General features: G+C 52.9%; 1 protein-coding gene across 1 annotated transcript in view, besides 2 other annotated features; it reads right to left on the minus strand.

Moving 5' to 3' along the window:
* Positions 1–12,463, minus strand: part of HCN4 (hyperpolarization activated cyclic nucleotide gated potassium channel 4) — a 49,100-nt gene that overhangs the window by 30,172 nt on the left and 6,465 nt on the right. The window lies entirely within an intron of this gene.
* Positions 1,839–2,339: an enhancer, noted in NCBI's record as "H3K4me1 hESC enhancer chr15:73644210-73644710 (GRCh37/hg19 assembly coordinates)". NCBI's record gives its function as "activates a minimal SCP1, AML or CMV promoter by ChIP-STARR-seq in primed H9 embryonic stem cells {active_cell/tissue: H9 hESC(primed)}" and the evidence as "EXISTENCE:reporter gene assay evidence [ECO:0000049][PMID:30033119]".
* Positions 2,340–2,840: an enhancer, noted in NCBI's record as "H3K4me1 hESC enhancer chr15:73644711-73645211 (GRCh37/hg19 assembly coordinates)". NCBI's record gives its function as "activates a minimal SCP1, AML or CMV promoter by ChIP-STARR-seq in primed H9 embryonic stem cells {active_cell/tissue: H9 hESC(primed)}" and the evidence as "EXISTENCE:reporter gene assay evidence [ECO:0000049][PMID:30033119]".

The following is a 12,463-nucleotide window of genomic DNA, read 5'->3' on the forward strand; positions in this document are numbered from 1 at the left end:
ACCACGTCACCACCTCCGGTGCTGCATCTCTGCAGTCCTCTTGTACACCCTGCCCTTCTTTCCTGCCGGCTCTTCTATTCAGTTGTGCTGCACCTGTTTTTCAGAGTCCTGGGAATATCCAGTCTGCTGACTCCTCTGATCCTCTCATCAGAACCCTCCTACATCCTCCCAACCACCCTTCACCCCAGACACGATGGTCCAGCTCATTCGCCTCTCTAAAACCAACGCCTTTAACTCCCATGCCCCTCCTCCTGGCACCGTCATGAAATCCCAGCCCCAGGCAAGGACCACCATCAACCCTTTTCATGTTCACATGGGAGCTGTGTAGAGAATCCCACAACCTCAGACCAGTCCTACTAAATATCCAAGTTTCTTAGCTCCTCATGCCTCAATGTCATCATCATGGCCTCATTCACAGCCCTCATCTCTGTCCCCTGATCCTTCCAGGAGAACCTAGTAAACTTTCCTGCCCATTCCCCATAGCTGCTATTTCAAATTAATTCCTCTCTCCTCAAAGCTCTGAAACCACCACTTTTTCTCTCAGAGTCAGCAGATAACACCACTTTCTACGTCACAGAGAAAAGCAAAGCCGCCAGTGTCCCCTTCCTCTTTCTGCCACCTTGAAGCATCTCCCCAATCCCATCTCCTCTTCCCAGTCACAGGGGAATCAGCGGCTCTTCTACCTGCCCTTTTGATACCATCCCCATTTTCCTCCCCAGGGACCTTAATCTACAGAAGATTCCCTCTCTCTCTTCCATCTGTCTCTCTCCACTGATCCTTTCCCATCAGCTTTTCCTTTTAAGCTCTCTAAACTTAAAAAAAAATCCCTCCCTGAACCCCTGCTGTCTTATCTCTTACCAAGCTCCTTGAAGGAGGTGTCACCGTCCCCACACTCTCGCTTTCGTGCCCCTCACCCAGCGCTCCTCTCCACTCCACTTGATCTTAGCCAAAAGGCCGAGAAGCGATGCTGCTCTCCACTCCTCAGCACGTCACCAATATGCATCCTGCTGCTAAATCCAATGGTCACTTTCCAGTCCATTTCCTCCCTGGCCTTTAGCATCATCTGGTCCTGTAGACCATTCTTACCTGCAGACAGTCTCCTCCTTGGCTTCCAAGGTGGCCCACTCCACTGACTTTTCTCTGTTCTCACTGCCTCTCCTTTCCCTTCCCTTGAACGGCCTCCTTTCCCTCGGCATGACCTTTCCATGTTTTTGCTCCTTGGGGCCCTCATCTCTTCCCGCTCTGTGCACTCTTTCCAGGTGATTTCACTGACTCCCATGGCCTTGTTATTCTGCTGCCTTGTAAACCATACCCCTCTCTTGAACTGTAAACCCATGCATCCACTTGCTGACTACATGTCTACAACTGGATGTCCCACGGGAACCTCACCCTTGCCATATTCAGACAGAGCTTCACAGCTTCCTCCACACTCTTGTGCTCCCAGAAAATGGTACCACCAGGCATCCAAAAGTATATCCCAGAAACCTCAGAGCTATCCTCAACTCTTCTATCTCCCTTGCCTTCCAACACTTCATCACACTGGATCCAACGTGTCCCATCAACCCACCATGGGGACTACTCCAACAGCTTCCCAGCTGAGCTCCTGGCCAGTCCAGGACCTCACATACCTCAGGGTCAGGGCTGGGGCCAGCACCCTCCTCCAATCGACTCTCCACACTTTGCTAAGCCCCAAATCCTTCTGCGCTTCCCATCACCTCTTAAGTGAAATCCAAATTCCTCACTGTTGTCCCCAAGGCCTTTCCTGGCCTGGACTCTGCCTCCTTCTCCTGCCTTGATGCTCCCCATTCCTCTCCTTGCACACTCTGCTGCAGACAGACTCAGCAGCCTTCGGTGTCCCCAACGCATGGTGCTTTCTTTGCCTCTGGGCTTTCCCACATGCTGTCATCTCTGCCTGGAACTCTTCTCCCCACTTGTACCCACCTACCCCCCTTGGTTCACAGGAGGCATCACTTCTCCTGGGAAGCCTTCTTTGTATCCTAGGAAATCTGGTTAACTGCCCCTCACAGGCGCTGCCCTGGCATAGTACTTATCATGTTATAAGAAACTGTGTGTGTGACAGTCTAACTTGCCATCACTGACTCTCTGAAGTCGGCGCAGTACCTTTTATACGGTAGGTCCTCATAAATACGTGAATGGGTGGAAACATACGAATGAGTGGATGGGGGATGGGTGAACAGATGAGTGCATGCCATGCATGCCTCAGGAGTGCGTGCCAAAGGCTGAGTGGCAGGGAGCCCAGCAGAAGCCACATGATGCGGGCAGCCCTCAGAAACAGACTCCTTCCCACCAGGCTTCCACAAGCCTCCGACAATCAGGGAAGAACTTAGCACATCCAAACCCCCAAGACTCACAGCAACAGCCCTCGGCAGGTGGTCCCACCCAGTGCTGAGGATCATGGTGGAAAAGTGACAGAAAAAGAGCGGAGACATTGAAAGTGGGGGAGAAGGCAGGTGAACAGACATGGGACAGAAGAAACAGGGGGCCTGGGGTCTCTGACAGGATGGGATGAGAGAGAGCTGGTCGGGGGACCTTGTGGCTAAAGACTGCCAACCAGGGCCCTGACTGTGTTTCCAGCCTGAGCTGTGCAGGCGGTGGGAGCAGAACCAACCACCCATAATAAGCCTCTCATTATGGGCACACCCCCTTGGCCCTCCTCTACCCCACCTCCACCACAGGGGATTTTAGAAGTTCTCCCTTCTTCCCAAATAGGCCTAGCAGTGAGACTCAGGAGCCCTGAGGAGGGGATGAAGGAGGCAACTCCACTGCTCTCCCGGAATCCCCTCCATTCCCCAACCAGACAGACCCAGGAGGAGTCTTAGGGCTTCCCCTACTGTGAGCTCCCCAAGGGCAGAAATGATTTCTCTTCCTTTTCCAAGATGGGAACACACAGTTGGGCAAGGGATGGGGAGGAATCTCAGTAACATTATCTTATTGTTAAATGGATGGATGGACAGATGGATGGATGGATGGATGGATGGATGGATGGATGGATGGATGGACGGACGGACGGGAGACTGTTGCCAGAAGAAGAAAAGACTGCCAAAGATAAAACAAAAAAAGAATTCACTAAATCATTAACATTGATGATTTCTAAGGGTGGGAATATATCGTGACTCTGAGTTTCTCCATTTCACCTTTCTACATTTTCCACCTTCCCCAAAACAGGCAGATGTTACCTTTATAATCAGAAACATTCATCTACCTTTAAACAATGGCCAGCGCCCTGTGCTGTAAGGGGTCCTCTAACATGTGTCAGGGGAAAGACACGATCCTGGTCCCCAGATGGCTCCTAAGTGGTCAGCAGAAATATGTGGCAAAGTCATTGCCGTGCCCGGGAGGTCAGGATGAGAAGATGTTTTGGAGATCAATGATGAAGGTGGAGAGAGGGTGGTTGTCTGAAGAGCAGGTGTAATAGGCAAAGGAGGACAGCTTAACATCACACGCATGTCAGTCCATGACACAGACACGTGACACGCATGAGGATGCCTTTCCTGCCTCCCCTCCTCACACCTTGATAACTGTCTGAAAGCACCTATTACTCCCCCTCCACACCCCCTATCTGTCTAGCTCCTCTTTACCATTCTCTGAGGCAGAGCCACTGTCACCACCTTCACCATCCCATACCCTAGAAGGAGCTGCCTCTCTGGTGGTGGGGGAGTGTTTTGTCCCAGGGTGAGCAGGAGTCCTCCCTGCCTGTGTCCTGGGGCTGGCATCTTAGCCTCCCCCTGTACCCTCAGGGTTGAAATCACCTCCCACAGCCTTCTTGAGCCAGGCTGGGTGCTCAGCTCAGGTCTCTGGAGGGAAATATAGCCCCACCCACTGCCCAACCTTCCTGCCCAACCTCCCCTCACTGTTGTTCTTCCCTGACCCCAGGGTCTCCCCACCACAATAGATAAATTGCTGTCTTCCTCCCACCCCCGCCTGGCCACTAGGGCTCTATTTTTAACCCACCTCAAAAACTCTGACTCAGAATCACAGGGCTCCCAGGTAAGCTGCTCCCTTGCCTGCCTAGGGCTGCCTCAGACACAGTCCGATTTAGAGCCAAGGGCATCTGGGGCTTGGTTTACAGGCGGGTTGTTTGGATTTGGGTGTACATTTATTTTCCAATTTTTCTATGTTTATCAATATTTGAGGAACAAAGTTTGTTTCGTTTTGTTTTTCTTAAAACCCAATGATGACCCTTTACCCCTGCCTCTTCTAAGGTACCTCCCCATCCTGGGCTGAGGTCCTGCCTGTCATGATGCAATGAGAGCTGGCCTCAGCCTCTCCCCAAGAAGGTGAGCTGTGTGAGGGCAACAGCTAACCCAGTCTTCTCTTCTTGGCCTGTGATCCTTCAGCCATACAGCACGGCGCCCCTCACACAGGAATGTGCACACACATCACCTGGGGACTTTCTGAGCTGCAGACCTGGTGGACTTCAGTCGGCTGTGGGGTGGGGCCAACATCTGCACTGTTAACAAGCACCCAGGTGATGCTGAGACTGCTGGTGCAGGGACCACATTTCTGTGTGGCCAGGCTATTGTAGATGTACGGTGGCTAGGTGCTCTGCTGTGAGGCCTTGGGCAAATCACTTAACCTCTCTGAGCCTGTTTTCTAATGTGCAGGATGAGAACATTAATCCCCACCTCACAGGAGTCTAGGAAGACCAAATGAGATAATATTTACAATATGCTATATGGCATAAATACTCAATTCAAGTGGGCCATTATCCCCATCATCATCATCCCCATCATCATCATCATCATCATCATTCTATGGCCATTAAGATGCAGGTCCTGGCCTGAGAGCTAGGAGGATCCTGAGGGACACAAATGGTCCCACCTCAAGAAGCCCTCAATATAGAGGATGGACAGACCCACCCCACAGCGGAGCTGAAAATCCAGGCCAGCTCCATGGGCAGATGGGGCCATGAGCCAAGGGAAGGGAGTAAGAGGGTTGATGCAGAATCTCTGACTCTGTATCCCTCAGGCTGGGGATGGCCAGAGGGGAGGAGAAATTCAGCCAGGCTTGCTCCAGAAAGGAGCAGGGGGCAGCATGCCCTGTTGGGTACTAAAGCCTCAAAGAGGATGCAGGCGCCCAAGTAGGTCCGCTGGTCAGGAGACAGCACTGTGGCTAGAGGCCAGGGGTTACAGGAAGGAGGCCCATGCTATGCGATGGAAGGTGTCTGGGTCAGGGGCCTGAGATTCTCAAGTTCTAGTCCCGTCCCTGTCTCTAACTTGCTATGTGACCTTGAATAAGTCCCTTCCTCTCACTGTCTCTTCCTCAGTTTCCCCATTGGCACAACACGAGGATGGAGCTAGACATCTCTAAAGATATGCTGAGTTCCATGAATCTCTGCAGTGCAGAGGCTAAAGAGGTCAGCCAAGGGCAGCTGGCCAGATTGACAGCTCACTCACGGAAGAACGCGCACCTCAGGGAACCCTGACACCTCAGCTCCCAGCTCTGAAGAGAATGTGGAAGACATCCTGAACGCCAGCTTGAGAACTCAGGGCTCTTCCAGGGTACATGAGGGGCTGGGAAAGTTATAGAGGAAGAGAATTCCTTGAGAAAGGGACTGCAACCGCACCTTCTCAACAGCACAGTGAGAACAGGCCTGGGCAAAAGAAACACTTTGAGATGAAAACCCATTGTTTATCTGATGGGCTAATTCCTCCTCTGCAGACCCTATGTTGCATATGCAGAAACACACCAGTGAATATGTACATGCGCACACACACACACACACACACCGCCAAACTGCACAGCAGGGGACATCTGCTTCACAGTGCTCCAAGTTGCCCAGATGCATGTTCCCTCAGGCCAGGGCCTAACCTCTCTGTGCTTCACCCAGTGGACAAGACCACTGGGGAAGATGGGGGAGGTAACAAGCAGTTGGAGAACCTCTCAGTCAAGCTTACAAGAATCAAAGAAGGCTCCAACACCACTCCCCCAGGAACCTTCTGTCCTCCCACTCAGGAGATTGGAGCAAAAATAGAACATTGTTGTGGAGTAGCACGGGAGCACACCCTCTGGGGAAATTAGGTGGGAGAGCTCACCTGCTCACACAGGAAGGCACTGCCAGCAGCGGGAGGAAACAGGCTTGAGGGGCAACATGAAGCACTGGAAATGGATTTGGGGCAGAACGTCTTTGTTTTTTGCTTTTTTTTTTTTTTTGAGATAGGGTCTCACTCTGTAGCCCAGGCTGGAGTGTGGTGGTGCAATCTTGGCTCACTGCAGCCTCGACCTCCCTGGGCTCAAGCCACGCTCCTGCTTGAGTCTCTGGAGTGGCTGGGACTACAGGCACACACTACCATGCCCAGCTAATTTTTCTTTCTTTTCTTTTCTTTTTTTTTTTTTTTTTTTGTAGAGGTAGGGTCTCTCCATGTTGCCCAGGCTGGTCTTTAACTCCTGGGCTCGAGTGATCCTCCTGCCTCAGCCTCCAAAAATGCTGGGATTACAGGAGTGAGCCACAGTGCCTGACCCGGGGCAGAACTTCTTAAGGCAGGCAGCATTGGTCATAGAAGGGGCTAACAAGGAGGCCATAGGAAGGCTTCCCTATAAAGAGTAGCTAAATACTGACTCTGCAAGGGTCTACACCACCCCTTTTTGATGGGATGGAGCTTGGGGCCAAACAACAAGGATTCTCTGGGGCATCTGGGGACACAGAGCTGGAGGGAACGGGCTGCCTTCTCTCCAGGAAAACACAGTCTAACAAGGAAGATGAGTGGGGCCATGTTCTCTGAGGTCCCTTCTGGCCTCAGAATTTTATGATTTTGACTCCTCACAACCCACAAGGAAAAAAAAGGTATAAAAGCTCCCTGGAGAGGGAGGCCTATTACCAATGGGGTTGGATATTGTGCTAAGAAGGCAGGATTTTACCCCAAGCTCTGGGGAGCCACCGTAGGACTAAGGCAAATGCAGAGCAATCAGAGAACTGCAGGCTGTTAGTGCAGATGGGGGCTTGGGGATGCCCAGCTCATTGGCTCCCAAAGTGATGGAGGCAGAATCACCTGAGTGCTTCCTGAAACTCTACCTGCCCGGCCTCACCCAGGGAGCCCAAACATCCATGATCACATAAGCACCCAGATGACTCTTCAGCGGCTGCCAATTCAGGCTTTGGGATCTTGCTAACACCCAACCCCTCTCTGGTCCCATTTTCAGAGGAGGAAAGCAAGACTCAGAGAGGTGAGGCCTCAGTTAAGTCCACACAGCTGGGCAGCACAGAGCCAAGTCTTCTACTGGTAGGATTCACAGGCTTGTCCCCTAGACTCTGTCCCCAGGAGCTACAGAGCAACCCAACAGGATGATGATGCCCCAGAGCCTCTGGGACACGTTGAACGGCTTTTCCTGTTTCCTTCCTCTGCCAATCCCAGAGTAGATGATCCCGCTGGCCTGTCCCACAGGGCCCCTCCACCCACAGTCATCTGGTGTGCCCTGCAGTCTGCATGGGTCCTCACACTCTGAGCTCTTCTGAGGCCAGGTCTGAGCTTCCAGGAGGGGACTGCTCCCTAGGAGGGGAGGCTGGGAGGAGAGCGTGGTTGAGGCCCTTTCCCGGATGGCATTTCAGTTCATTTTCATTAAGCTCCTGCTGCATCACTTCCCGGGAAGGATGCCCCGGAAACAAAGAAAAGAAAGCCTGGCCTCCATCCACGGAGGCCATGACCTAATGGAGGGAGGGCCTTCAAGAGGCCTCACCAATATGACACAACGTGCCAGGAAGACCCCCAGCCCCGCTCCCCAGGACAAGGGCCGACAAAGCCTCCACAAAACAAGGCCCCTAGGTAAGAGATCTTCCACGTGTCCCTGGCCCCCAGGGACTGCAGAACTCTAGGATCATGACTGGCTGGACCTCGGTGACAGAGCCAGAAAGAGGGAGGGAGATTCTCAAAAGCTCTACTGGTCGGCAGCACTGTCCCTGCCCTGCTGGCTCTATTTGTGCTAATGGGGTCAGGATTCAGGGCTCAATACCTATTTGGCCAATTAGCTCTGCTCTCTTCAGCCTCATACTGAGGCCCGACCCTGGACACTGAGAGAAGAGAGGAGCTTGCTGAGGTCACCCAGCAGAACAGGATGAGGGTCAGGAGGGGAAGCTGAGGGTGGGAGAGGTGGGCAGTTCTGGGCAGGCTGGCTCAAGATAGAGGACCCAGGGCTCTGGGGCGGGCCGGCCCCCACACTGCAGGAAGCCAGGCCCCAGGGGCAGTCTCCCCTGCTGGACCAAGTTTCTTCTAAAAGGTGCTAATGGCATGAACGGGACCTGTGGACCTGAGGGTCTTTCCTGTCTTTGGGGAAAGGAACAAGTGCCCTCACATCCTCTGAAGATACTGGAGGTGGGAGAAGCCCATGGCTGACTTTGGCATACAGTGGCTGGGGACTCACATTAATCATTAACAGGGGCTGCTCTAGCCTCCAACGGGGAACTGCAGGGTAATTACTTCTGGGCTCCAGGCCACACGCTCAGTGACATTATTGCAGGCAACACCTGCCTTCTGGGCCTAGTAAGGCAGGAGAAGCGAGTCTTCTCAAAGGCTGTGCACCTAGGACCAGGGTGCACACATACACACAGGCAAACACACCACACGTACTCAGATGGCAGCACAGGCAGCCCGCTCAGAGTCCTCAAGGGTGAAGGGCAGGGACTAAGGAGTACAGGTTAAAGGAGGCAGGTTCTGAATAAGCAGCCCCCAGCACCTGCCAACACCCACCCCAGCCAGGCGGCCCTTAGCTTAAGCTTCCAAGAAAGTGCACAGAGTGGTTCTCTCTTTCCTTCAGATCCAGCTCAGAGTCACTTGCTCCAGGATGCCTTCCCTGACCATCAATCCATATTGATCTATTGCTCATCTGCCCTCCCATAAACCAGAAGTGGAACCCTACTCTCCATTTTGCCACCTCCAGCACCCTTAATAGTGAAAGCAGTCTTGGAATGGGTGATATGGTATTCTGGAGGGCATGACTCCCTTAGCTTGCCTCTCTCCAAGCCCAGAGGATAATGTATTAGCCAGCCCCCATTATGTATTAATTTCTGAAAGCCTCGTTCACGCAGACATAACACATCCACCCACACAGATAAATGCTTAGACAGACACAAAATCATCAGCAGCCAATTATCAGGCCCCCGCAGCTGCCGTGATCAGACCTGGAGGCCCCGCTGCTTGCTCTGCAATTTGTGGTAGCCCAGAGCTGGGGGAGCAGTGGGTGGAGGGAGTCCCCCTATCCAGCCGGCACGGCTCGAGGTCCAGCCCTGACCCTGAGGGCACCTGAGCTTGCTGCCTGGCTGAGAACACCAAACACCAGCCCCAAACGATGAAGAGAGCAGAGTTGGGTGGGGAGCTGTCACGTGTGAGATTTGGTGGCTCTGGCGTCGGCAGTGGTGGCTCTGTTGTTTATTTATAATTTGTACTTTACCTCCCAGAGAGGACCAGAGGCAGCTGGCTCAGATACTAAGAGGTGTAGGAGCTCAGGGAACTTAGGGAGAGCTTCCTAAAGGGGGGCGGGGCACGAAGGTAGAGTCCTGAGCCTTGGTACCTCAGCAAGGGCACCGAAATTGGCTCAAAGGCTTTGCACAAGGATGCCAGTTCCTGACCCTAGACCAAACCCTTCCCTTGGCCACAGACTTAGCCCTGACCCCAGCCACGGACTGAACCCCAATCCTGGTTACACACTGAGCCCCGACCATTGTCAGAAGCTGAGTTCTAGCCATGGTCACAGAATAAGCCCTGATTCTGGTCACACACTGAGTCCTAAACCACAGATCAACCCCACTTCTTGACTTTTCTGAAGTCTAGCATGAATAGATCACGTGACCATTTCTCTGGTGGATCAGAGAAAGATACCACTGGACACTTGCCCCTTCTCCTCTGAACCCCAATCACCGCCATCCATGAACAGGGGCATTAATGGCACCCGGATATGGTCCCCAAACCCCAAAGGTCTCTAGCAGTCAGGACCTGCCCAGGAAGAGGAGGTGAGCTGGCATCCCAGCCCAGCATCCTCAGAAACAGCATCCCCAGATCTGGGGTCAGGACAGCATGTCCCAGCCACCAGACTCTGCATCTTCAGAAAGGGGAAGGCTCCCTTCTCATGGGAGCAGCCTAATTTTGATGGGATCCTGAAAATATCTATCATCCCAGAAAGACAGGTATGAAGCTAGAGTGACAAGAAAAAGCTCCAACTGACAGGACCATTCAGGAAAAGCCTTCCCTGTGAACCCTCTGGCTGGGAAGCTGGGGGTGGACTTAAGCTTGAAGGCCTTTGCAGACAAGACGTTACACAACCCACTTGGTCTCTGGTTTCGCCTCTGACATACTCTGTGACCTTGAGCCAGCTGCTCCCCCTCTTTGCTCCTCTACTCCCCATCTATGAAACAAAGGCTCCAGGCCAGCGGCTTGCTAAGGCCTCTCCAGATCTGATATTCCGACACCTGATCCATTTTCTGTGCCTGCTGACTATCCCTTTCTGAGCCCCTCCTCGACGTTTTAATTCTCAGGAGAATGTTTTCTTGAACTACTTGTGTAATTAAATTTTTTAAACACTAACATAAAAGAAGGAGGAATGTCAAATTCCAGTTCTGATATTCATGGCTGCATGATTTGGGGGACCTCTCTCTCTCTCTCTCTCCTTTCCTCGTCGGAGGCTTATCTGTAAGTTGGGGATATAAAACTATTTGGAGGCCATCGTGAAGAATAAATGAAATGGGAGATATAGAGCTCCTAGCACAGCCTGGCACATGGTAGGTGCTTTGTAAATGGTGGTTACTGATCTGTGAACCCACCTGGCTTTAGTCTCTGTTGATTTGAGTCTAGGGCTATAAAATCCAAAGCCTACAGGGGTCAGGCAGCTAAATGGCATGAATGACGTGGCTGGGTGTAAGACAGTGGCCTTAGCGACAGCTGGGGACCTGCACAACTGCAGAGCAAAAGCCAATGTAAAGGAGGCAGCCTCTAGTGTCTCCTTCAGCTCCCCGCTGTGGAGTGGGAATGTGGGGCCAGGGCTGCCAGGGTTTCCAGTTTTTCAAGAGAAGCCCGAGAGCCATATTTTCATGTTGTATCTTTCCATTTAAAAACATTGGCTCAGATTTGTTATGACCCACTATGCTGGCCAAACAGAGCACATCTGGATGCTGTATTTGGTGCATGGGATGCTGCTTGGCAACCTCTGATCGAAGTACTGCCCAGTCTTATCTTGAGCGCCCACGGTGACGGGGAGCTCACCACCTCTCTGTGCTGCCTCCCACCTCAGATCCGAGTGGGTGCTGATGGTACAGTGTCTCCCAGTGGCTTCCTAGCCCTTGGGACTGCAGACTTCTAGGGCCCTGGCAATGCCTCCTCAGTAAAGAAGCCTAGCTGGCAGAGAACATCCTCTCCAAAGCCAACACAATGCCCCTGCCCGCCCATGGCCCTCTCTGTCTGGGAAACGTGAATTCTTCAGCATCCCCTGGGCGAAAGCAAGACTGTCTGGCCGGCCTCAGTAGCCCTTCTATTAATTAGCAACTGGCAGTCGCAGCTTTGTAAGAGCCCTTGAGCCAAGTGAGTCTGTGCAGGAGCCGGCTGCCTCCTCGGTTCTAAGACAAGCCCCCAGGGGACTGGGGCTGGACCTTCTGCTCTGAGTGAATTCCTCCATGGTGGTCAGTGTTGTGGCAGGCACAAGGGCCACTCAGGCTGCTATGACACTTGTCAGCCCCATCATTTGTATGAAAGCTAATGCCTTTCAGGGTAGGAGGGGGCAGGGAGAAGTGACAAGCAAGCCCAGCCCCCAGGGGCGGCTGCTGGCCATAGCCTGGGGCAGGGAAGAAGGATATAAGATTGGGAAGAAGGCCTGGATGCCTCTGTCCTCCTCTCAGCTGGCCCCTGTCAGAGCCACTGGCTCCCCTGCTCAGTCACCTCTGCGCTCATACCGACATCTGCTCCTTTCCAGAAATCTCATTGCAATGCAGCAGTCACAGTACTCCCTGCGCCTTCTCCCCAGCCAGGCCCACCCCTCTGGCCCTTTGGATGGGAGAAAAGCTGCAAAAGTGGTGGGACAGGATGGATTAATGAGGGTCCTCTGACCACCCAGCTTCTTCCTGTTCACACCCATCCCAAAAGCCAGCATGCGGGACCAGCAGCGTCCAAGCAGCAGTGCAGGAAAGGAGGAAGAGCAAGCTATGAATCCCACATCCCCACACTGGCAGGCAGACCTCTGTGACTTGGCTCAGCCCAGTTCACAGACTTCACCCTGCCACGCTGAGCTTGGGGATAGAGGCCACAGGCTCTGAGGCCAAAGAGATAAAACGGAGCTCTGCCCTCAGGGAGCTCAGTTTGGGAGCTTGGGCTAAGCATGGAACAAGCGCATGAACAGTAACCTCAATACTCCAAGCATGGTCCTGGTCTGGACACCAGCCACATTAGCAATCTTTGGGCGCTTAATGAGAAATACAGCATCTCAGGCCCCATCCAGACCTACTGAATCAGAATCTGTATTGAACAAG

The sequence above is a fragment of the Homo sapiens genome, chromosome 15, assembly GCF_000001405.40.
Source record: "Homo sapiens chromosome 15, GRCh38.p14 Primary Assembly".
Lineage (NCBI taxonomy): Eukaryota > Metazoa > Chordata > Mammalia > Primates > Hominidae > Homo > Homo sapiens.